This window comes from Homo sapiens, chromosome 5, assembly GCF_000001405.40.
Source record: "Homo sapiens chromosome 5, GRCh38.p14 Primary Assembly".
Taxonomy (NCBI): domain Eukaryota; kingdom Metazoa; phylum Chordata; class Mammalia; order Primates; family Hominidae; genus Homo; species Homo sapiens.
This window is the reverse complement of record NC_000005.10, coordinates 79,726,023-79,751,634: the sequence shown is the minus strand read 5'-3', so window position 1 is coordinate 79,751,634 and position 25,612 is coordinate 79,726,023. Positions and strand designations below refer to the sequence as shown.

Here is a 25,612-nt window from a genome sequence, read left to right as displayed (position 1 = left end):
AGGCCAATAGTTTTGTGGGGGTGTGGATATCAGGATCTCAGTGATGGTGGATTTATGGTCAGTATGAAGGAAAAATATTATAAAATAAAACTGAATATTTAAAGAGTGACTTCTACACTTACTACTGTCAGAAACAATAAAATTCACTATCATTTGATTTAGGGGAGGTGGTTCCAGAGGGGCTTCAAAGAGGAGGTAACATTTGGGCTGGGTATTAATGAGTGGGAGTTTCCTAGGCAGAAGAGAGAACAAGTAAGGGCATTGCAGATAGAAGAAGGGTATGAACCCAGGCATGGAGATGCGGCCAAGTACAGCACATTCGAGGGCCAGAGGGCACCGTGGGAGTTGGGAAACACAGACAGTCAGGGATGAAATAGAAAAGTCGTTTGTGGCTTGACTATAAAGAGCCTTTCATACCCACTGAGAGTTCAATTTTGTCTTTTAAGGCAGGGAGAGCCACAAAATTGTTATAAAAGGGAAATTTAGATGACTGTCTTGGCAAGTGTCTAAGGAAGGATCAGGGTAAGCAGAGGAGGGAGGTCTGAGGTCAGGTGGGAGAACCCCATAGGGTCTAGTGAGGGAAGACAGCACGAGCCTAAATTAAGACTGTGGGGATGGAGAGGGCGGAAATGATAGGCTCAGAATGAACAAAAATGGTGCCCCATACATGCACTAAGCCCTCTAAAAATACACATCACTGATGTGTATTAATGTAGGACATTTTGTAGCACAAAGGCTCTGATGGTAGGTACCACAAGCAAAATGTTAGAGTTTTCCCTTATGCACCGAACCTATTCCAGTTTAACATCAGCATATGAAAAGGCAGGCAGACATCCTTTTAGAAGCAGGTCTTACAATGGTTGCAACTCCTTTCATTATTATAACACAAAAGAGCAAAACGGAGAAAAAAAATGAATCCCCTCAACAAACAGCATTTTCTAAGCAAATGTGTTTTTCAAGATATGTAAATGTTTAGTCTAAATATGCTTGACAGCATTCCTTAATTTAAGCATTTTTAGTGTTGAGAAAAAGCATTTAATATACAAGCACTGCCTTTAGAGATGTAATATGAAGGGAGGGAGAAAAAGTGGCAAGGTAAAATAAACCACAACTGACTCTTGAGCAAGATGGGGTTTAGGGCACTGACTCTCTGTACAACTGAAAATCCATGTGTACTGTTTGACTCCCCAAAAACTTAGCTACTAATAGTCTGCTGTTGACTGGAAGCCTTACCAATAACCTCAAGAGTTGATTAACACATATTTTGTATACATATTATATACTGTATTCTTAAAATCAAATAAGCTAAAGAAAAGAGAAATTCCTCAGAAAACCATAAGGAAGAGAAAATACACTTACAGTACTGTACTGTATTTATTAATACCTTAAGTTTACATCATCTCTTCACAAGATGAATCACCTGAAATGCTGAAATGGAAGGCAACGGTGGCTACAGACCTCAATCTACTGAAAAGATCAAACAATTCAACTTCTTCTTGTAATGTCATGACTTTTCTCTGTTTCTGGGGAGCACATCCAGGATCACTAGTGCCACTTCCTATGGGTATCATGGCGTTATTCAAGGTTTATGGTATCACACCGAATATGGTAAAAAAAAAAAAAATAGGCAAAAACCTTAGGAGATCACTTTTTACTGCAATATACAATTTACTGGAGAGACTAACTGCTCACAGGGAGATGATTAGCGTGACACAGTTTTTAAGCAGAGATTCACAACACTTGAGCTCATCACAACAGCAACAGGAGGTGGTTACAAAATTATTAAAGTAGTATGGTAGCAGTATAGTTGTAGAAATTATTTGAGTAGTACAGTATTACTACAGTTAATTTTATGCAGTTATGATTTAGTACTGTATCTTTATGTTTGTTTACATTTCTCCCAACTGCATATGGTGCTATGGACGGTGGTGTTTGTGTGCATAAATGTTGATGTTCTTAATTTTTATAATAGATTTGTGTATATTTTATGATAGTAAATGATAAAATAGACTAATATTTACATATATTTTATGTACTTGTGACATACCTAACATTTTCTTAATTTTTCAACATTTCTGGGCTATGCAGTTCATCTTTGAGTTTTTTTCAAACTGTCACAAATCTCAAAAAAATTTTCCAATATATTTATTGAAAAAGATCCACATATCAGTGGACCTGCACAGTCCAAACTCGTGTTGTTCAAGGGCCAACTGTAGATAATTAGCACTTCTTATAGAAAGGAACATCAATAACATTGAGACTTTGAGACAGAAGTTTTCTTGAGGACATGGAAAGCTTTTCAGTGATGGCGCCCAGCTTCATCAAGTGTGTGCACGTGTACATGAACGTTTGACAGCGGTTTCTTTAATTGTTCATCTTTCTTCACCAAATCCCAGAATTTTGTTGTCTTTTTTCTTTACAGGAAAATAATGGTTAGCCCAAGTGTACTCTCCTTTAAGAGACAGGCAGCTTTAGCAAAAAATTAATTCACTGTCAACTGGACAATGAAATAGAAATTAATTAAAATGACACACAGATGAACATATTTAAGCACAAAACCGAAGAAAGAGTATTTAGTATTAAGTGGATGTCAATTTATATTTGCAATATTCTGATGGTTAGAAAGGTAAAAACATTCTATTGCATTTTTCAACTTTTCACTCACCAAATTTTCTTACTGAGCAGTAACTTCCATGAATGGATAAAATATAAGTAAGCAAATATGCATCTACACTGTCCAGTATAGATGGAATGGCACTGTAAATCCATGTGCTTTTTGGATAAAAAGAAATGTCAATAATATTTAGAAAAAATAATTTGTTTAAAATAAAGGAAACTGGAGGTGGGCAGATCACTTGGCCTGAGGAGTTCAAGATCAGCCTGGGCAACATGACAAAACTCCATCTGTACTAAAAATACAAAAAATTAGCAGGGCACGGTGGAGCGCACCTGTGGTCCCAGCTACTTCGGAGGCTGAGGCAGGAGAATTGCTTAAACCCGGGAGGTGGAGGTTGCAGTGAGCCAAGATCGTGCCACTGCACTCCAGCCTGGGTGACAGAGTGAGACCCTGGCTCAAAAAAATATAGATAGATAGATAGATAGATAGATAGATAGGTAGATAGATAGATAGATAGATAGGGAACTCGGAATAAGGCCTGGGTATCAGTTTCTAGACCTGATTGGTGTGTCTTAGACTCGTCTGTGAGAATTGGTAACAAGCAGATGCCTGGTCTCACTCTGGAAATTTTGATGTAGTGGATCTGGGGTGGGACCAAAGGATCTTTGGTTAAACAAATTGCACAGGTGATTTAGGCACAGCCAGTGTGGGGAATTACTGGGACGAAGGATAGATTGTATAAACCAGAACTTTCAACCCTGGCTGTGCATTAGAATCATCTAGGAAGCCTTAAAAATGCTCATCTACACCCCAGAGCAATTAAATCAGAATCTCAGAAGATTCAGGCATCAGCATTTTTAAAAGCTCCTTGGGGAATTCTATTCATAACAGAGCCACTGTTATAAAACACTTATTGATTAATGTCAATAAGTCAAATTATTTTCAAAAACTAACTGGTAATATTCTGTTGAATAGAATTTGTTTTAGGTAAATAGGATTCATCTGTGTGATTTCAATTACCTAAAAAAATCATATTTCTAATCTAAATCCTTTTTTATATTATAATACATTATAGATACAAATTTCTGATTTTACTCTATGCTGTATCACAATTTGAATTGGGATGGAAGTAAACTGAAGATGGTATTTACAATTTAGAAATTTACATTTAAAATTACACTAAAAGGAGAAAACATTAGGCTCAAACCAGAAGGAAAGACCTCAGGTCTTGCTATGGGGCAAAAGGAAGAACGTGTCAGATCTGTTGGATAATTATAATATGAAATGCTCTGAAAGATAAACATAAATCTGATGTTACATGTTTTTATAGACAACATGTTTTCTTGTTGAGTGTTTTGCTTTTGGAAAGAATGAAGAATTCTCTTAGATGAAGTGTTAAAAACACCAACAAAACAAAACAAAATCAAAGGAGGGAGATTCATTTAGGTTAGCTGAGCAGAAAGAGAAGATAAATGCATGACTATCTTTTGAAGAGAAAATGATAGAACAGTTCATTAAAATTACATAAATCATAAAATTACTCAAGGCAGATATGAATGATTCTTTCAAATACTCATGTTTAACCAATGCATCTAAGCATCTACAAAATGTTCTATATGCAGTGACAGGAAAGATGGCCTAGATTAGGCTGAAAATGCAGAATACATCTTGAGGAAGCAGTTAAAAATCTACATTATGATAATTGTTATTTAACTAAAGCACATGCAGTTTTCTTTCAAAGCTGTCATTTAGCTTTTAAAAGCACTGTGTCTAAAAGTGAAAATACTGTAGCCCACTAAATGCATTTTTTAATTGGCAGCTCATTTTCCATAAAGCACCAAAATATTAAAAAGCAAGCATCCAGTCATGCTGTTTGCCACTACATTGTATCATGTTTTATATACCTTTCATTGATTTCCTCAAACGACTTAGGGAGAAAGAGAGAGGAAGGAGGAGGAGAAGAGAGAAAAAGAGAGAGAGAAAGAGAGAGAGAAGCTAATTAACAACAGAAAGAAAAAACAACCAGGAGCATTAAGATTACCCACGTTTGAAAATCATAACCCCTCAGCTTCCCTGAGGTTGTTTTTGTCTCAGTCTGGGCAGCAAGGACATAAGTGCTCACAAGGCGGGGTGCAGGGGAGGGGGAATGGGTGGGATGGGCAGTGTCAGGACAGGGATGGAGGATGGTTTCATTTGCAGTTGGCTCTGTCTCTGTGATCAGCGGGACTGGCAATGAGTTGCTTATGCTCTGCTTCTCTCTATTCATCAACCAATGGCTTAGCTTCCAGAATAGAATTCTCTAAAGCAGGAAAAATGACTTAAATGTTTTCAATGAAGGATAGAGATCAAAACTGTAATCAGTATTTATCTGAGTGATATTTTGTGTGCTTTTCTATATTTTCCAATTTTAAAAAATGAGTAATATTACTTTTATAAGTAGAAATGCCTTTTTTTTTTTTTTTTTTTTTTTACAGTTTGCTCTTCTAGAAAGAAGTAAATTATTCTTATTCTTACAGAACAAAGATAAGGTTCTCAGGGAACAAAAAGCACTTAATTAACATTATGCTTCACAAACAGTGCCCAATTTATGAATAAGAAGCTTTGCCTTAATTACACACAAAACAATGTAATGAGTTTAGTTCTCTTTGAGAATGGCCATGTCCACTTCACCAAAATTTGCCCTGGCAAGAGCTGTCCCCAGAGGCAAATCAAAAGGCTAACATTGTTCCGTTTTGCCTTGCTGTATCTCCAAAGTTTTCTAAAGGGTAGGAGGATGGGGAACTTTGAAAGGGAGGTTCCCAGTCATCCTAAGAGCAGTGCTTCTTGCTGTGTGACAATTAGGCTTGGAACTGCCTTCAGGGAAAACATCTCCACTATTTCTGCTTAATCCTGGCTTCATGGAGACCCAGCATCTCACTGAATATTCTAGGGAATTGCAGGGAGCACAGAGGTGTCTCTGCTGGTGCAATGTGAGGAGCACCCAAGGGAATTTCCATGTCTACAAGTTACCTGCTTGAATTAAGGAATCCTGTCCCCAAGAAACCCCTTGTAAAAACACCAACATATTTATTACCTGAGAGGGGTACCCCATTATGTCATCCTTTTGCACACCCAAATGTTACTCTCAGCCCCTTGGCCAGGCTCAGAGGGGGAACAGCCCATATGAGTGGTCACTTCAGCTTAGAGAGTGAAGAGGACGGCCCCAGGAGCCAGGCTGAGGATGCCAGCTGGCCCTCAGAGGGAAAGCATGGCAGGAACAAGGCTTCTTTCCCTCCCTCTTAGACAGTGACCAATGAATCCAGTGGGACGCAATGGATGATGATGCTGCAGGCTGTCTCTTTCAGCTGTATCTTTCAGCTGGATCTGGGCATTGAGGCTTTCAGGGTTTGCTGGGCCTTTTCTATAGGCATCAGGCATGCCCAAATAATGTTTAAATGCCAGAATTATATAAATCCCACACAGAGATATAAATAATCTTAAGGAATAGTGAAAAATGAAGCTTTAAAAGTAGATGTGCCAGAGTGGGCGCAAGGTGTTTGAGCCCATTTTACTTGGCACTTACAGTCAGGAAGACGGCCTCATCAAGCTCCTCTGCTTCTCTCACGATGGTCTCCAGGGTGTCTTTGGCAGTGTCCATGCTCTGCAGAAAGTGGACCATCTGCTCATGCAGGAACTCCATCTTCTTCTTCTTCACTTCCTCAAAGCTCTGGGCTTTCTCATCATACTGTGCTAAAACCTTCTTCATCATTTCCTCATTCTGTTCTTCTAGCCTTTTCTCATTTTTACTACAGTTTTCCTGAAAACAAACAAGCAAAAAAGCCCACTTCTGAATGAAACAAGAAATGCTGCTTTTTTTTTTTTTTGGAAACACCAGCCTTTTAAAGAATTGACCTCTGGCATCCTGATCAGAGAATCAGACATCACATGCACAGTTCAAATTTCTAACCTACCAATCCCTTTCCCACAGTTAGTTTTGCAATAAAGCAATAGAATTTACTGTAACAGTATCATCAAGAAAGTTTTAGCTACCATAATACAAAATATATATATTTTCATATGGAAGTCTTGCCCACCTGCACTCACACATGATGAAACTTGAAAATGGCATCACGTTGAGTGAGCATCCCTGGCCTTCAGATGGTGGAAATGCATCAGTCCACTAAAATCACAGTGCAAGGCAGAAAGCCCAGATATGGAATGGGGGCTACCTCCCCAAATGTTCTCCAGTGAGATGGCAGGTTATCCCACAGTGGGAGAAACTTCGTTGCCTGTCCAGACACATCCAGATGCCTGGCTATCCTCACTAGTGGGGCTAGTAATAAGATGATCCCATAATTTACTCCCTAAAAAGGACACCTGGGGAAGGTGACACCCGAAATAACTAGCATGTACTAGTTGATCCACAACATGAATTAAGCAGACCTCTTACAAGCAAACCAGCATGTGGAGCGGCCCCAGTAGTAGGGAAACTGTGCAGCAGCCTCTGCAGTGGCCTCAGGCCCTCTGCCAGTCCTGATTGACTGGTGAGGGTGCCTGGGCCATCTCTGTATAAGGATGGAGCATTGCTAGTCCCTCTCTTCCCTGCAGAAGGGATAAGAGCCAGCAGCTAGGAGAGTATGAACTCATCAGAGATAGTCGTGCTATGAGAGGCACTCACTGGCCCTGGGCATGGGACACTGGGCAGTGACTCAGAGCATTTCTGCAGAGTTAACCCAGTGAGAGGCATGAAAATGAGGAATGTACTCTAAGACTTGGTTTCTTATCTATACAATTGGAACAATAATAACACCTATCTCATATAATTGTGAGGATTCAGTCAGGTAAAGCATGTAAAGCATTTGCCCTATTATAGTAAGTGTTAATAAATGCATGTCTGTCGTTACCGGCAAATCTTTTATCCATAGGCAGAAAGGAATCTCACTCATTATGCACAGAGAGAAGACTTTAAGCATTCTCGCTTTGAATGGAACCGAACCAACAATGGCAAACAACACATGCGCATAAAATCCCCAAGTCAGATCCCTTCACCTCAGAATCATTTACTTCTGATACTGTGAACAAGCCAGGTTAAGGTAAAATGGGTGTGTTAACTTACCTCAATGGTATTAAAAAAGGATTCTATCTCACTAACAAAGGCTTCAATCCTCAAGGACTTTTCTTGTAAATTTTCTAGAAATTCTGCTAATTGAACCTGAAGAAAAGAATTAAGATATCCTTAGTATATGACATTTAGGAAGAGAACTTCAACCAGTGAGCTCCAAGTTCCTTATAAATTTAGTATGTTTCGTAGAGACTTACTATACTATATCCACTAACAAATCAATCCTTAAATTTTCTTTACTGCCTCATCTGACTATAGATAATTCTGTATGATAATTAGGAGGTTTTGAGTGAAAACCTCAAAACAACTACACAAAGACAGTATATCTTCGTAAGTGAAAGAATGGACTTTCTTGATAAACTGATGAGCTCAAAACATACCTGTTTTAATGAACTATAGATTTGAATGCGTTCTCTCTAGTAAGACCTTGGTTTTTATATGTTCTGAGAGAGGAGTCTTTTTGCTAAACTGGTCCAATATACCTGAGTAATTTCTTCACATTTATACTAATGGCCTGAGAAGGTGATCAGAGTGCCACAAGGCCTGAAATTTAGCATACCAACTGAGAGAAACTGCCTACTAAAGGGACCTAAAAGTTCTAATGACCCTCAAAGGGTTAAAATACTCAAGGGGTAATAGCCAACTAGAAAACGTATGGGGTGATAGGGGAGCATGGTACCCACTTTAGCCGTAATTATAAACCTAGCAACAGCCAATCTTGCTAAACTTAAAAAATAACAAAGCAGAAAAAATAGCAGAGCTTCAGCTGTCTGATTCACTACCACAGACTGATGGAGATACAACATTGATGGAGGCCTCTTCAGGATCTGGTCTCTACTTCCCTCTATGGCCCTTACCTCTTCTCCACAGCCCCCAGGCTCCAATCACACAGGCTTCGTCATTGCACTCTTTCTCATCTGTGTGCCTTCATATGGTATTCCTTGGCTCTAGAATGTTGTCCCTGCCCTTGACTGCTAGAAGAGCTCTATCTCATTTAAAGCTCACCCAAGCATCACCTTTTAGAGACACCTTTGCTAACATTCCCCTTCCTACCCCACCGTTTCACTCCCAAAAGGTTAGTTTCTCAGAACATTGGGCTTTCGCAACATTGTATTGATTTTGGGAATCTACAAGTCCATCTTCCTTTTTTTTTTTTCACTCTCAATGATTGGCACAGTTCCTGACACACAATGGGAGATAAATAAACACTGAGAATGCAGGAAGGGAGTGAGTAAATGAAGAAAATAAATAACAGACAAAAGATAAGCACATGATGGGGATGGACTGGGGAGGAGACACAAGGACTTGGGTGATCTGTAACTGCAGCCATTGGCTCCTGGAACAGGCACAAATGCCTGCCCTTAAGATGCTAGAAAATTCTCAAGCTACAATTTTTTAAATTGATTTTTATTTTTAAAAAGTTGCCAACTGGCCAGCTGCAGTGGCTACTGCCTGGAATCCCAGCACTTTGGGAGGCCTAGGTGGGAAGATCGCTGGTAGCCAGGACTTCGAGACCAGACTGGGCAACATACTGACATCTTGTCTCCACTAAAAATTTAAAAAGTAGCTGGGTGTGATGGCATGTGTCTCTAGTCCCAGCTAGTCAGGAGGCTGAGGCGAGAGGATTGCTTGAGCCCAGGAGGCTTCAGCGAGCTATGATGATCACGCCGCTGCACTCTACCCTGGGCAACAGAGTGAGACCCTGTCAAAGAAGAAAGAAGAAAAAAGGAAGAAGAAGAAGAGGAGGAGGAGGGGGGAAAGGAAGAGGGGGAGGAAGAAGGGGAGGAGGAGGAAGAAGAAGAAGAAGAGAAGAAGAAAGAAGAAGAAGAAGAAGAAGAAGAAGAAGAAGAAGAAGAAGAAGAAGAAGAGGAGAAAGAGGGAGGAGGAGGAGGAAGGAGGAGAAAGGAGCAGTAGGAGGAGGAATTGCCAACCAAACAACTCTTACTAATCTTCATGGCTGACTTAATGAAATGAAGCTAGCTGCTTGGCTTTAGTCAACTGGGTTCCCACCTTCTCCTTCTCATACTGTTTAGAGAAGATCAAGAATTAAAAAAAACTTTAAAAATGATTTTAAGGCAGGAGACATCATATCTCTCTACTTATAAAATTTGTTTTAAATTGATAATACTTAGATGATTATTTTTTAATATCTAAAACTCATAGAGATAAACAAAACATATTAAGAAGACCAAAAAAATTCAGTCTTCTTTCTGCTGGCAGTGCTCAGTAGTTGTGAGTTAAAACAAAGTATCACCGCAGAATGGGGCCCACTTCCACTGTAGCTCATGCATGTGACGTCTGAGATTTCACAAAAGAAGTTGCCCTACTCCCTAACCCCAAACTTTAACAAGTAAAGTTTCAACAAAACTATACCCTGGAGAACTAGAACCAATATCAGACAAGTTGAGAAGGATTAATTTGGGAGTTAAAAAATGCCAAGATTCTAATATGTTATCTGTTGAATCAAAATGAGTCTGATAATTATTTAACAAGGACCTAATTGAATGATCATATTGAAAATCACTACCATTATCAAGGTACTGAGCCAAGCAGTATGCGTATATAGTCAAGAACATGAGCTCTGGCATCAGAAAGATCTGGGTACCAGCCCCAGTTTCGCCTTCCATGACCTTGGGCAAATCATTTAAACTCTCTGAGACGATTTTATTATCTGCAAACTAATGACAGTGACAGAGCTGTTAGAAAGACTAAAAGATATCCTGTATATAAAGAACTTAAGACTGGGCATTGTGACTCACACCTGTAATCCCAGCACTTTGGGAGGCCAAAGAGGGAGGATGGCTTGAGCCCAGGAGTTCTAGAGCAGCCTGGGCAGCACAGGGAGACCCTGTCTGTACAAAAAAAATTATAAAATTAACCCAGTGTGGCAGTGCATGACTATATTCCCAGCTACTTGGGGCTTGGGAGGCTGAGGTAGAGGGATCACTTGAGCCTGGGAGGTCAAGGCTGCAGTGAGCTGTGATTACACCACTGCACTCCAGCCTGGGTGACACAGGGAGACTCTGTCTCTAAAAAACAGAAACAAAAACAAAAAAATAGTGCATGGCACAGAGTAAATCCTCAATCGTTATTGTTATTTAGTAATTTTAAGATAATTCCAGCTGCCCTATGGAGAATGGATTAAAGAGGTGAGAATGGTGAGACCAGTAGGAGGGCTATGGAAAGGTAGAGGAGAGTCTCAAAGACTACATTCCAATAGTATCTCAGGGAAGTGGAGTATTTATAGTTACTTACAGGAGGATACATGTTGGGACTAACTTATCTGGAACACTGGGGTCCTACAGACATAGCCAGAAAGAATGCAAAAAAATTTCTGCTTCTAACATGAATTTTATAAATTAAAAGGAAATACAAAGAAAGTAAAATCTTAAACTGTCTTAATGTATTATTTACATATAACTTGCAATGAAATGTCTCAATGTATTGTAAATGTGTCTCTTTAAAGGATGATATTGTAGATAAATAGGAAGGAAACTGCTTTTTGCAGTTTTTTGCTCAAAGGTAATTTTTTAAATTTCAAATTATTTGGCATTTTTGGTAATGTTAAGGACTATTGCCATAAAATACCAAGCTCCTCAAGGGCAGTGACCCTGTGTTGTCTCTCTTGCTAGCCCCTAGGCCTAGAAAAATGTGTGGCACACAGTGTGTACAGTTGTCTTCAATATCTGCAGAGGACTGGTTTCAGGATGTCAGCAGATACCAAAATATGAAGATGCTCAAGTCTCTGATATAAAATGGCATAGTATTTTCATATAACCGGCATACATCCTCTCCTATACTTTAAATAATCTCTAGATTACTTATAATGCCTGATACAGTATAAATGCTATGTAAATAGTTGTACTATATTGTTTTTATTTGTATTATTTTTATTGCTGTTATTTTTATTTATTTTTTATTTTATTTTATTTTTGAGACAGGGTCTCACTCTGTCACCTAGAGTGGAGTGCAGTGGCGGGATCTCAGCAAACTGTAGCCTTGACCTCCTGGGCTCAACTGATCCTCCCACCTCAGCCCCCCAAGTAACTTAAACTACAGGTGTGCGCCACCATGCCCAGCTAATTTTTGTATTTTTAGTAGAGACAAGGTCTCCCCATGTTGCCCAGGCTGGTCTCAAACTTCTGGGCTCAAGCAATCCTCCCACCTCGGTCTCTCAAAGTGCTGAGATTATAGGTGTGAGCCACCACACCCAGCCCCCTCTTATTGTTTTGTGTGTGTGTGTGTGTGTGTTTTTCCTGGATATATTTGATCTGCGGTTGGTTGATTCTAAGCATGCAGAACTCAAGGATAAGGAGGGTGGGCTGTACTCAATGAATGTCTGTCAAGCCTACCTTAACTAAATTCTTGGAGAAATATTCTTAGTTTGCTTTCAGACCATTCTGCTTAAAGATCAATGATCAAATATTAATCATCTTTAAAATTGAGAAAATGTAAAAGCAAATTAAATGTGTATATATATATTATTAATTATGTGTGTTCAACATCTATTTACCTTTACAGCACTTATAGCTGTGTCAAGCGTTGAAACTTCATGGTCTTTGTGGGTGCCAAACACCTTGTCAGTGGCAGAAATTGGACATTTGCAGGTGTAACAGTATGTGTCAATCTGGGACTTTTTCAGCTCTTTTTGTGCCTTTTCAGTTACTACCTCAGATGATAATTGGTCTTCTTCTTTCCTCTCGCTGCCCAACTCTTTTTGTTCAGCAGGTGTACTTTGTTCTGCCTCACTCGCAAATTCATTTTCACTGATGTGCTCAAAGGATTCCTTTCCTTGAGATAAGACATCTTCAGGTGTGGATTCTGAAGACAGTTCTTCTGATAATATGTCTTGAGGAACCACTTCATTATGCAGGGATTCTGTAAATTCATACTCATCCTGAACAGGGCTATTACGGAGCCTCTCTTCACTTGGCTCAGGTGGGACCAGGATTTTAGGTTCTTCTAGTGATGTTTCTTGAACATGAGTTGCACCAGATGCAAATTCTTCCTCCGGGAAGGACACTTGTACTGGGACATTCAGATTGACCTCTGGACTTGCATTTCCGACTTCATTACCGTGACTGCCTGCTTCATCTGCACGCTCCAGAACATGATGGGTGTCTTCAAATGGAACCGCATAACTTATTTTCTGGGTAGCCACTCTGACGTCCTCTGTGATGGGAGCTTTCTTCTGCATCGCTACGTTACCAACGGTCTCCACATGGTCTACTGATTCTCCTTCCCCATAAACACCTTTCTGTTCTTCCAGACTCTTCTCCCTGCAAATAGTTCCAAACTTTCCCCAAATTTCCCCTTCTGCAGCTATCGGTTGGTATGAATCATCCTTACCAACTCGTTTTTCTTCCAGACCTTGGCCCTGGTCCTTTTGAGTTAGAGATGTGTCATGGAGAATGTCATCTTTGAGTATGTACTTCTCAAAATATATTCCTGTTCCATCATCAGTGTCAGAATTTCTGCTGGGAAATGATGCCTCAGAATTCACACTGTCACCTTCAGAAGCTGTCTCCTCTTCCTTCTTTTTCTCTCCAACTGCTTCTTCATACAGATCCTTATATAAAAATGCAAGTGCAGGTGGCTCCTCCAGAAATTCTGGATCAATGACTTTAATAGTGGTAGGAAATATCTGGGTTCGTGATAGAACTCCTTCCTCTGCTTCAAATAAAGGCATCCCCGGTGACTTTGAGTCCACATCTCTCTTTGTGTCCTTTGAAACATTCCTGTCAGCTGAGTTTTGGCTTTGGGTCTCTGGATGAGATAATATGTTGTGGCCCTTTTCTGGTCCATAAAAACTTTCATCTAATTTCACCAAGTCATATTCATGTTCTAGTGCACTTTCCACTGAACTTACTGGGAAAGAGATAGTTTCTTCTGTAACTTCCTTTGAGAGTTTCTCTTCAACATTTAATTTCTGTGGAGCTTTCTGTTTTTCTGGGTCTGGGGAGATGTTATAATCAATCAAAGTATATTTTTCAAAATAATCCTCTTCACTGGGAATTGTGGGCTGAATAAATGATAAATCAGTTTCTGAATCTGTGGATATCTCTTCTTTTGTCTTATGAGTTTCCTTTTGTTTATTTTCTTTCAATGGGGTAACTTTTTCATCTTCTAACCTGCTCTTTAATGTTTTATGACAAGCAACTGTTTCACTATCATCAGGGAGTGGTATGGTTTTAAATGAGGCTTTCTCTTCCAAATATTCTAATTTATCTTGCATTTGTTCACTTTCTTCCTGATCGATTGAAGAAATAAAGGCCGGAGCATGAATATTCAATATCTCACAGCCTTCAGAAATGATACTAAAGGCAGTCTTCTGATCTTCTGAAAGTCCGGCTGGCTTACTAGTCACTGTAAAGTCTTCACCTTTTGCATATGTGTCTTCAGGTTCCTTGGGCATTTCTTTATTAGAAACCATTTTATCAGCATTGCTTGCTGATGTATTAGATATAAATTGAGCATAGTTGCTTTTTGCTGAAGACAGTGGTTCCTTTACACGGGTATCTTCCGCAGCCTCCAAGTGGTGCTTTGAAACAAGAACAGATTGTTTAGGCACATCGGATGTGTCATCTTTAGATGTCTGAATAGTATGAACTGTATGCCTTTCTGGAGTCAATTCTGATCGTGGCATTTCTTTTTTCTTCACTGCGTTAATTTCTGGAGAAGCTCCTGAAGCAAGAGTTTGTGGTTTTACAGGTGACAGCAAATATGGCGGTGTTTCTGAGCTCTTAGTTTCATCAAAAGGACGAGCTAAAGTCCTTTCGGATTCTTTAGATGGAAATCCTTCTTTCATACTTTCTTTTGTGATATCTACTGAACCACCTTTCCATAGCTCTGACTCTTTGAACTGTTCTTTTTCTTCACTGTGATCTGGCATATCTCTGCTTGACTTTTCTAACACTAGATTTCCTTCCTGAGACAAAGAGTGGTTCTCTATTTCATCATGACAAGAAAGAACCACTGGCAGGAAAGTCTTAGTTTTCTCCACCAAAACTTTACTTTCTTCTAAAGGACGTGGTTGGGTTCCTACTGCCTTTTCTTGAAATCCTTGTTTCACAGTTTCTTTTGTGATATCTACTGAACCGCCTTTCGATAGCTCTGACTCTCTGAACTGTTCTTTTTCTTCACTGTGATCTGGCATATCTCTGCTTGACTTTTCTAATACTAGATTTCCTTCCTGAGATAAAGAGTGGTTCTCTATTTCATCACGACAAGAAAGAGCCACCGGCAGGAAAGTCTTGGTTTTCTCCACCAAAACTTTACTTTCTTCTAAAGGATGTGGTTGGGTTCCTACTGCCTTTGCTTCTCTGATTTCTGGGTGAGCCTCTGCGAGCATGGCTTCTGATTTTTCAGTAACTGATGTAGCTTTAACTAATGAAAATGATTGAGTTTCACCCAAAGAATGACCTAAAGAGATATCTGATTCTCTACTCATAGACTCGGCTACATTCACAGAATAAGGCTGATGTTCCTGCTGCTTCTTTCCTTCTGAAAGCACATATACCTGATTTTCTTTTTCTTCACCTTTCTCCTTTTCAGAACCAACAATGATTTTGGGTCTTTCATTGTAGTCTTCATTTTGATAGAAGTGCTGTGGCATAGCATCGGCTTTTGATTCTTTCAGTTCAGTAGATCTAGATCCAAGTGTAATTTGTGTCTTCCCTATTTCATTACTATCTCTAAGCTCTAATGGGGCCACAGAGTTTTGTTTTTCTGCCAGCACCTTCTTTTCTGCCAAGGTATATGATCTGTTTTCCAAATTATCTTTCTTCTCAGTTGGACTAACAGACCTGAGTTTTGTTTCCTCTTCAGAAATTTTCAAGGAAGTAGGATTTTGCATTTCTTTCTTGAGTCTGTCTTCACTGAAATCAATTAAACTGCCTTTTGATTCTTCTACTGGCAAAATAATTGACTCTGGTTTCTCTGATTCCTTTGTGATATTTTTACTTGCAAAGTTGGAGGAAGCTGATTTTGGCTGTTGTGGCACCTTATCTACTACATCAAATGAAAGGAGTGATTTTTGTTTTTGATCACTTCTTGGCTCTTCCTTAAAAATAGAAATATTCCATTTAGATGGAGGAGCGATTGCTGGCTTCTGGACTCTTTTACTATCAGTAACATGAGGAGGAACAATAGTTTTGGCTTCTTCCATAACCAATTTCTCACCGATTAGTGAATAAGATTGAATTTCAAGGTTCTCACCATCAGCAGAAGTAACTACTGAGTTTATGTTCATTTCCTCTGAATCGCCTGAGATTTCTTTTTTTCCATAATCTTCCCTAGACACCTCAGAAATGAATTTTGGCTGTTGTAAATCTTCTACATTTGATAAAATCATGGATTTTTCTTTAACGTTTTGACCGTCACCAGATTTTACTAAAGTACCTCTGGGTTCATCAGCAGTTTTAAGTTTTACCTCTGATAATGAATGATCAGCTGGTTTCTCAGCTACATTAAAATTGGTGGGAATTGTACCTTCAGGATCTATCACAGTCACTGCTTTTTCTACGGATGGACTTGGCTGTGTTTCTAAGTCTTCTTGTTCAGCAACTTTGTTATCTGGAGTGCTCGATCCAAAAAACAAGCTGGACATCCACGATTTGAAAGATGAAATTCCTTTCTTTCCCTTTTCCTCAGGAAGGTCCGGCTTAGCCACCTTTGGTTGTGTAGGTGGATTTTGTGTCACCTCAGGTGACTCTGGGGATTGAGGCTCTCTTGCATGGATTGAGGAGATGGGTTTTCTTTGTGTGGGTATTTTTACTTCAGGTGATGGTTTCTTTCCCTCATCAGCATCATCAATAACCTTTGACTGAACCATTTTTGATTCTTCCAATGGCTTCTCTTCAGGAAAAGGAGGTGTGCTCCTGTGTGCTTCTTTTTCATTGCCCAATGCAGGTTCCACACCTTCTGCCGGGAAATGGGCTGTTTTGACAGAAGAGGAGATTGTTTCTGACTTCACCTGTTCCACTGATAGGCCAGACACTGGTTTCTGGAAGAATCTTTCAGGAGGTAGTTTAATTTTTTCCTGGCTATCTTCTTTGGAAGGCCAGGAAAGCTCTGTGTTTGCTTTCTCCAATAGCAAACTTTCACTCTCCATCAAAGAATGAATCTCCTTCCCCTCTGCTATGTTTCTCTCTACATTTCCAGCTAGGACTAAAGACTTTGGTTCTTCAGCCAGCTTTACTTCTTCAGAAGAGTAACTTTTACTTGATAAGGTCTCTGTATTACCACTGGAAGTATCAAGAGCAGATACTGCTTCTTGTGATGACAAATGAGATTCTTCAGCAGAATGCGGCAGGACCTGCTTTCTCACTTCACATGTATGGTCCTTACTGGACACAGCAGCCTTGAGCTGCCCTGGCCTCAGCTCATTGCTGCTAGAGGAATCCAGCTGCACAGATCCTGCTATTCTCTGTTCGTGTTGACTAGCCACATTTTCTGGCTTTCCCAACATCCAGTTTTCATCCTTTGGAGAAATAAAGAATTCTTCCATTTTTGTTTCTTTGACATCCGCAGGCTTGGTTGTCATAAATGATTTTGATTGTTCCAAAGGCAAATTCTCTCTCATAAGTGAAAACTGCTTAATACCCAGATCTTGTTTATCTTCAGAAGAGGTGCTTACATCAGGTAATTTAACAGTTTGATCTGAATGAAGTGCTTTTTCTGTCTTTTTTTGTTCTACAAGGAGGTCAGAAGGAGCAATCTTTGATGGTTCTGTTATACTCTGGAGTACCTGGGATGAATTTGGGTGGCCTGTTTCTTCACTTAGCTTATCTAAAATATCTCCCATGACTTGTGCCTTCAAATTTCCAGTTGGTGGTAATGGGCCTATTTCTTGATTTCCTCCCTTTTTAAAGTCGGCTGGATGGCTAACCTCCTCTGATAATCCTTTTAAAGAAAAAGTAAATGGCTGAAATTCTTCTGGGTTGCCTCCTTCAGCTACAGAGGCAGGTGGTTCTTTCGACTCTAGGCTGATGATCTTGGGAGAGAAAGGTTTAATTTCTTCATTCTGAGATTCCTCCCTAAGCAATGATGAAAGCTCTGAAATTGCAGGCATCGTAGAAGATGCACAAAGCTCTCTATTTTCTTCTTTTCCTTCTCTGCTCCTAAGCTCAGCTGGGCCTTTTTCTAAAACAGAATCCTCTGTTTCAGTTATGGGAGACTTTGCTTGTTTTGTACCTATGGATCCACTTTGTCTACCTAAATCACTAGAAAATTCTGACCCAGCATTTGGTAATTCCAACGGTTGGTGTGGCTTGTCTTTCTTCTCAGGTTCCAAAGACAGCTCTGCCAAAGCAACATCTTGTTTTTCTGATGGGAAGTCTCCCTGAGCTGTAGAAGATACCTCCACTGCCGGTTTGTTCTTATCATCACTGAGGAGCAGTAATGTTGGGGCTAAACCTGATGCTAAATTTTCCAACTCAGGAGATGAACTTGCTGTTTCCTCATCTTTGCCTTTTGGGATTATATGTTTGGATGCAGGTGACACATTTTGTGATGAAGGAAGTTCAGTTTCTTTCTTCTTTATCTCACCCCATAGGCTGAGTGGAAGCTCATGTTCAGGCTCTAACACCTCTGAGGTAGACATCAAGCTCTTCTTCTGTGATGAAACCAAACGTTCAGAGTCACAGACTGTAGAAAATAAAAGATCTTGTTTGTCTTCTACCCTTGCTTCCTCAGATTTATCTGAATGCTGAGAAGATGATGTTTTGATTACTGGCAACCCAGCTTTAACTTCTTTGGCTTCTACTTCTGACAAAACAGAATGCTCTGCTATAGAGGAGACACTTGGAAGTGAATCAAATTTAATTTCCTTCTCTGCTTCTGACCAAGCTAAATGTTTGGATGAAGTTTCAATGGGAGAAGCACCTTTAATTGCCACCTTGTCTTCTTCTGCAAGAACTGAATGTTCATCTGCAGATGTTACCAGTGGTGGCAAACCACTTCCTAATTCACCCTTTCCTACTTTTGTTAAGACTGGACGATCTACAGGAGTGATAAGAGATGAATCTGTTGGGATTTCTTCTTTTACTGCTCTGGTTAAGTTTGAATCAAGCTTAGTTACAGATGCTGTAGTTGTTGAGGAACTGGGTTCAATTTCTTTTTTAATTTCTTCTGACAAAGCTGAAAATGCTAGTGCAGGTGGACCATGTTCAACTTGCTTTTCCACTCCTGAGGAAGCTGAATGAAGCACTATAGGTGTAGTTGTTATTTTGGAATCATGTTTCATCTCCATTTTCACTGCTGATAAAGCCTCAGGTCCAGATAAAGATGTTTCCTTTAGAGGTGAATATGGTTTTATTACTTCAGGCTCATTCTTGGACAACTTTCTCTGTTCTAGTTCAGAAGTCACATTTAGAACTAATTTGGGCTTGACACCCTTCTTTGGCTCATCTACCATGTCAGGCAAAACTGAATATTTCATCTCAGACTCTGGAACATTTGGAGGCTGAGGCTCCATTTTTTGATCCTGTGATACATGTGCTGTAGCTTCTTGAGAATCAGGCACAATTTCTTCCTTTCTGACTTTTGACAAAGCCATCTGTTCATCTGCAGCTTTTAGAGTGAGTGCTGCTGTGGGTTCCTGTTCTTTCTTGATTGCAGGGACTGAATCAGGTAAAACTGAATGTGGAGATGCAGGTTTGGTTTCTTCCTTTACTATAGATGATTGTGCAGGTAAAGCAGCAGGTATTGCAGCTACTGATGAACTTGCCTCCCTTTCTCCCTTCTCCACTTCACTGGTTAAATGTGAAGGAATCAAGTCTTCAGACTCAGGCTCTAAATATGCTTGAGTTTTCTGCTTCTGTGCCAAAATGAGATATTCAGATACAGATGTTGAGGTTGTTGGAATCTCTGGCTTAATTTCTGCTTTCTCTGATTTATCTGTTGAAGGCGGCAGACTTAAGTCTTCAAGCGGAGACATCAAAGGGAAAGTTTCAGCTTTTTGCTTCTGTGATGAACTGAACTGCTCAGATACAGGTGTAGCAGCTGTGGATCCAATGTCTTCCTCATCTGCTTCTGAAAAGCAGGAATAACCTGAAGCAGACACTGCAGTTAATAGTGAATCAGGCTCAAGTTCATTTTTCTCTGTTTCTGAGATTCTAAAGGGAGGGATTGAAACTTGTGATGCTGAGTCTGGAGAGAACAGTTCCGCTTCTTCAGTGTCTTCATCTGACAAAATAGTGTGCTCAGATGGTGATGTTAAACATATTGGAGAATCGCACTCAAATTCTCTTTTCTCTGCTTCCTGGGTTGCATACGGTGGAAATGAGAATTCTGACACAAATGCAGAATCTGGAGAAAAAGGTCCAATGTCTTCTTGATCTTCTTCTGATAAATTCATGGGTGAGGATGCACCTTTTAGATTTAGAGATCTATGGACAATTTCTTCCTCCTGTGCCTCCGGTGTTGCATATGGTGGTACTGAAAATTCAGAAGCAGATGTAGAAGAGGGTGTGTATCGTTCCAACTCGACTGCCTCTTCGTCTGATAGAACAACATATTCAGATGGGGTGGCTGAAAGTGGTGGGGCCTGGCATTCAGAAGTCATCTCGGTTGTGTGTGGTGGGAAAGAGTGTTCAGATGCAACAACCAAATCTGGGGAAGATGGTCCAATGACCTCCTTGCCGTCTACTGACAGAACTGTGTGCTCAGAAATACCTTTTGGTTTGAATTGGGATGCCTCATTGATTATTTTCTTTTGAGATTCCTGTGTTGCATTGAGTGGGGCTGCATATTTGGAGATCAACTTTGAATCCGGTGTGAAACGTTCACTTCCTAGGTCCTCTCCTTCTGATGGGACCACGTGTTCTGATGTGGCAGTAGAAGGCAGTGGTGACTGGCATTCAGAAGTCTTTTCGGTTGTGGATGGTGAGAGAGAGGGCTCAGAAGCAGGGGCCACAGCTGGAGTAAACGATCCAGTGTCTTCCTTCTCTTCTGATGGAATCATGTACTCAGAAACACCTTTCAATATTAACGGGGACTTACGGTCAATTGTTTTCTTCAGTGACTCTTTTGTTGCCAGTGATGGAACTGAATATTCAGAAGCAGATGTGGAGTCTGGTGTGTAACACCCACTTTCTGAGGCCTCGTCTCCTGATAGGACCATGTATTCTGGTGTAACTGTTGAAAACAGTGGAGACTGGTTCTCTGAAGTCTTCTCAGTTGTGGATGGTGAGAGAGAGCTCTCAGATGTAGGGGCTGCAGCTGGGGAATAAGCCTCAAATTCCTCATTCTCTTCTTCTGACAAAACTGCATGTTCAGCTATAGCTTCTACATTGGATGGGGGAACTGGCTCACCTTCTTGCTCCTGTAATTCATGGTTCAAATCCTGTGGTACTGAATACTCTGATACAAAAGCAGAACCAGTAGAAACAGATGCAATTTCCTCTCTTTCTTCCTCAGACAAAGCAACATGTTCAGGAGATGATGCTGCCAATAATGGTAGAATAAGCTCTTCTTCTTTGTGCTCCACTTCAGGGGACATATGTGGTGGGAAGGGCTTCTCGGAAACCAATGGGCTTTCTGGGTAATCAAGTTCTACGATCTCTTCTTCTACTAAATTAGAATCTTCAGGTTCAGGGGTAATAGCTATGGGTAGGGAAGTTTCTATTTCTTCTTTCTCTGGTTCTTCTAACATTAGAGGTTCAGAAAGAGAAATGGATGGCTCAAGCATGTTTTCCTCCTTCTCTCCTTTGACACTGGGATGGGTAGGGGTCAGTTTTGCGGAGACTGGTTCTGCCCTTTCTATTGAAGTCAGGTCCGGCTGTTCTTGGTCTGGGTCCAAACCATCCTGGGTAGATGCTGCCAGACCTGGTGACGCTGCCTCCAGAGAAATGGAATGGTGAGCAGAATACACATCTTCCTTCTTTACCTCATTAGCAAATGATGGTGAGACTGAAGAGTCATTCTCTGAAGCTGCAGTTCCTGGTGAAGCAAGCTCACATTCTTCCTTTGTTGTTCTCAGGAACATAGTTGCAGGTGTGTCGGGTGTCACAGATGGAGGTTCCACTTCATGTGGTTTTGCTTCATCTTCTGGCTGTTGTGGCACTGACTGTGAATGCCTGAGCTGTATTCCTTGTTCTGCTCTGCCACTACTTGAATAAGAGGGAACTGTGTGCTCCAATGCAGATGTGGCATTTAGGGGAGAATCAGCATAAATTTTCTTTTGATCTTCATGACTGAACATTAAGGTTAGGGACTCTGATCCTTTGGAGAGTGCGCCTCTCCAGGGTGGAAAAACCTCTTTTACTTTATCCTCTATGCTTTGGGCTACTAATTTGCGTGTTTTGGACACTGTATTAGAACCACTATTGTCCAAATCTGGCTCTAGACTAATGGATGCATCTTTCCCTTTCCTATAATGTATTTCTTTAATTACATAACCCTTTGGCAATGTTCCATAAAATTGTAGAGGAATTAATTCTTCTTTAACCGAATTAAACATCTTAATTTTATATTGTACTGTTCCTATGTAGACTGGTCTTAACACTAATGGCTTGTGTTCTTTGTATATTGCCCCAGTAATCGGAGGTGTATTTGAAGTGGTCTTCTTTTTTCTTGCTTTATCATAAATGCCAGTATATGACTTCTCTTTCTCCGTGGTTAGTACCTGGCTTGCTGAAGTTAAAGGACTGCCTTTTTTGTTTGTTGGAACATCTTGGGATTCAAAAGAATTTCTTTTTCTGTTGCCTTTCCGGCGTAATGATGGTGAACCATGCTTTGACTTATGAGTCCTTTTCCGAACCTTTTTCACTTCATCCACAATAAAGGAAACATTTCCAGGAGGAGAATTCACAGTTGACCCTTCCCGACTACACACACCAGAAGTCTGACTTTCTTCTGAAGCCCAAGGAGTAGAAGATCTACTTGAATTGGTTTCCCAGGTTATCCCACTATCTTCCCTTTGGACTGTCACCATGGAAAAGGAGGGGTCAGATATGATATACTCCTGCTTGATCTTTCCCTCTTCATCCTGGTCTGATAACCTATAGCAAATAACAATATTAATTATATATTATCATAATAAAATAATACTAATTAATAGAATAAGTAAATACATTTTTACCAGGTAAAGGATTAATGTGAAATTAAAATACAGACATCAATATTGCCTTCCATGTCAAAAAGAGGGATGTATATCAAATAAAGTTTAAAAACCAAAGTCAGGATACCCAATACAATGACACATCCCAGGCTGGAATGACTCACTATTCCACAAACTCAAAAAAGCTAAAGTTAAATTTACCACCTTCTCTCATCAGGATTGCCTTCCTGATCTTGTCGGGACTCAGCAGTCACTCAAGCCCACTCTAGTCACCAGCATCTTCATAATAACTCTTGTATCTGTGCTCTCTCTGTTACCACGATCGCCACCTCACCCAGCTTTTCACCACTTCCCTCCTAGTCACTGCCATTAACTTCCTAACTGGTCAGCTGGTATCACAGGTACCTCATTTTCCCCCACTCTTAACCCACTGTGCCGCATCCTCCCAGACTGGCTTTACTAACCAGCTCAGTATGCCACCCCCTGCTTTAAAATCTCAGCAAATTCTTCATATCCACAGAAGAAAAAAAAAAAAAAGATGTTCAAAATCCTTAGCTCTCTAATCCCTATCTGACATTCTTTCCAAGTGTGTACCTGCACCCTACCCCTACAGGTAAATTCCTGTTTTAACAATAATTCACTGTTCGGCAAATAGATCTTGGGAACTCTGAGTCATGATAAAGAGAAAACAGGTCATTGAATAGAGAGAGGTCACAAAAAATGTCAACCTACTGTGCTTCACTTTCCTCATCTATAAAACAGGGATAATAATAGAACCTATCTCGTGAGCTTGTTGAGAAGATTAAATTAGTTAACTCATGCGAAATGCTTAGGGAATATTCCTGGCATGTAGTTAGTGCTCACTCAATAAATGTTATCTGTAGTCAGGCCTTCCTGATGACACATGATGAAAGGCGCCTGGGCATGATCACTTGCAGCTGCTACAGGATACAGAAGTGTGGAAAGGCTGTGTCCGTGGACTGGTCTCTCATCCCTTCCGAGATGGCTGGCTTTGGCCGCTCCTTCATTTGCTATTGGGCCCCCATCTTAGACTCTGTAGCGCTCTTCTCTGAAATTGTCTTCTACCTCTTCCTCACTTGTACTTACGCTGTTCCTCCATTTAGAATGCAGAGCCCCGACAATACTCCACTTCTGCAACTGTAAATTCTACCTACTCCTTAAGGCTGGGTTTAAATTCCTCTGCGGTTATCATTCCTGACCAATGCAGCAGCCGCGTTTGCCATCACTTCATAAACATATTTCCTCCTAGGAATATGCAAGATGAAGCCCAGCTACTGACTGGCTTACATCTGTCTACAACAATAAAAACAAAAAACCTTCTGTTAAAAACACGAAACATAAGTGTTAAATTAAGACAATTGAAAAAAAATCTACAGTTAGATTTATGTCCCTTCGTAAACTGTTTTTATCATCAGTCTCTGCATATATCAGAGGTCCTTAACTCTGAGACATTATAAAAACCACCTGTGGAAACTTTTTTAAAAATACTAATACTGCCCCATACCCTTCTCCACAGAGATTCTGATTTAATTGTACGAGGGTCTGGTCTTCACATTGCTATGTTTTTAGATTTTAAAAGCTGCCAGGCGACTACAATATGTATTCAGAATCACTGGCCTGGCCAGGCACAGTGGCTCACGCCTGTAATCCCAGCACTTTGGGAGGCCGAGGCGGGTGGATCACCTGAGGTCAGGAGTTTGAGACCAGCCTGGCCAACATTGTAAAACCCCATCTCTACGAAAAATACAAAAATTAGCTGGGTGTGGTGGTGGGTGCCTGTAATCCCAGCTACTCAGGAGGCTGAGGCAGGAGAATCTCTTGAACCCAGGAGGCGGAGGTTGCAGTGAGCTGAGATCACGCCACTGCACTCCAGCCTGGGTGACAACAGTGAAACTCCGTCTCAAAAAAAAAAAAAAAAAAAAAAATCACTGGCCTAAACAATCCTAGCTCTGACACTTAAATAGCACATATCTTTCTTTCTCACTGCAAACCCTTCCTGGTTTGTTAGGTTGGGTGGGGACCAGGACCATAAGTCCTTGCAGGTGCACTCAACTTCCCTTATTAAGCTTCAGAGTTTCCCCAGCAGTCTACTGCAAAGGGGTTATGGCTGTCCTGAGATCCTGGTCTCCTTAGTTCTCAGCACAGCCATGGGGAGCCTGGGGCAGCCAGGCCCCTTGGGCCACTAGCCTGCAATAGCAAGCAGCCAGATCCATTCACCCTAGTGTGCTATAAATTATATCATTTTCTATACATGCCATGAGTGAAGGGTCGGGAAGAAGTAGTCTCTCCACTTCCCCGCAACTCTGCTCTCACTCATTTGCTTGGGTATTAAACTGCTGAACTTAATTAGGAATTAATACTGTATCTTGGTCCTGAACAGAATCTTATTTTAAACTGTTTTTTCAGGCTCTTTTACATACCTAATTAAAGCTATTCCACAAAACTTTCAACTCATCCTACATCTTCTCTCTTCCATGTCACTTAGAAATAGGATGAAATTAAAAATTAAGGTTATGACATGCATCTGGGAAGTCAGCATTTTGAATGCCCATGAATGTAGAAGCATTATAAAATTCAATTATAAGTTCAATTTAGAGTTAACTATTGATTGTAAATTCTATGTGCCCAACCAGAGAAGTTTTCATTACCAGCTAGAATGAGTTCATGAGTGCTGAGGAGAGAACACACGTGGTGGTCACAAGACAGGAGAGCCCTACTGATTCACTCACTCAATCGTTGCTTACTCATTTTCATTCATTCATGTATTTCTTTACTTAATAAACTTAATAAACTTTCATTGAGTTCAAATACT

General features: G+C 40.3%; 1 protein-coding gene across 3 annotated transcripts in view; it reads right to left on the bottom strand.

The window, feature by feature from the left end:
* The window catches only part of CMYA5 (cardiomyopathy associated 5), a 110,387-nt gene that overhangs the window by 48,588 nt on the left and 36,187 nt on the right, over positions 1-25,612 (bottom strand). For 2 of the 3 annotated variants that reach the window (XR_001742036.3, NM_153610.5), the window contains exons 2-5: positions 12,232-22,720; positions 7,713-7,808; positions 6,180-6,413; positions 4,522-4,544 (exon numbers count right to left, since the gene is read on the bottom strand). Coding sequence is in view for 2 of the 3 variants with exons in the window: in NM_153610.5 (NP_705838.3) it covers positions 4,522-4,544; positions 6,180-6,413; positions 7,713-7,808; positions 12,232-22,720 (10,842 nt within the window). In the remaining variant the exon portion in view is untranslated. The remainder of the gene's footprint in view (positions 1-4,521; positions 4,545-6,179; positions 6,414-7,712; positions 7,809-12,231; positions 22,721-25,612) is intronic. The other variant, XM_047416911.1, reaches the window with a different exon arrangement.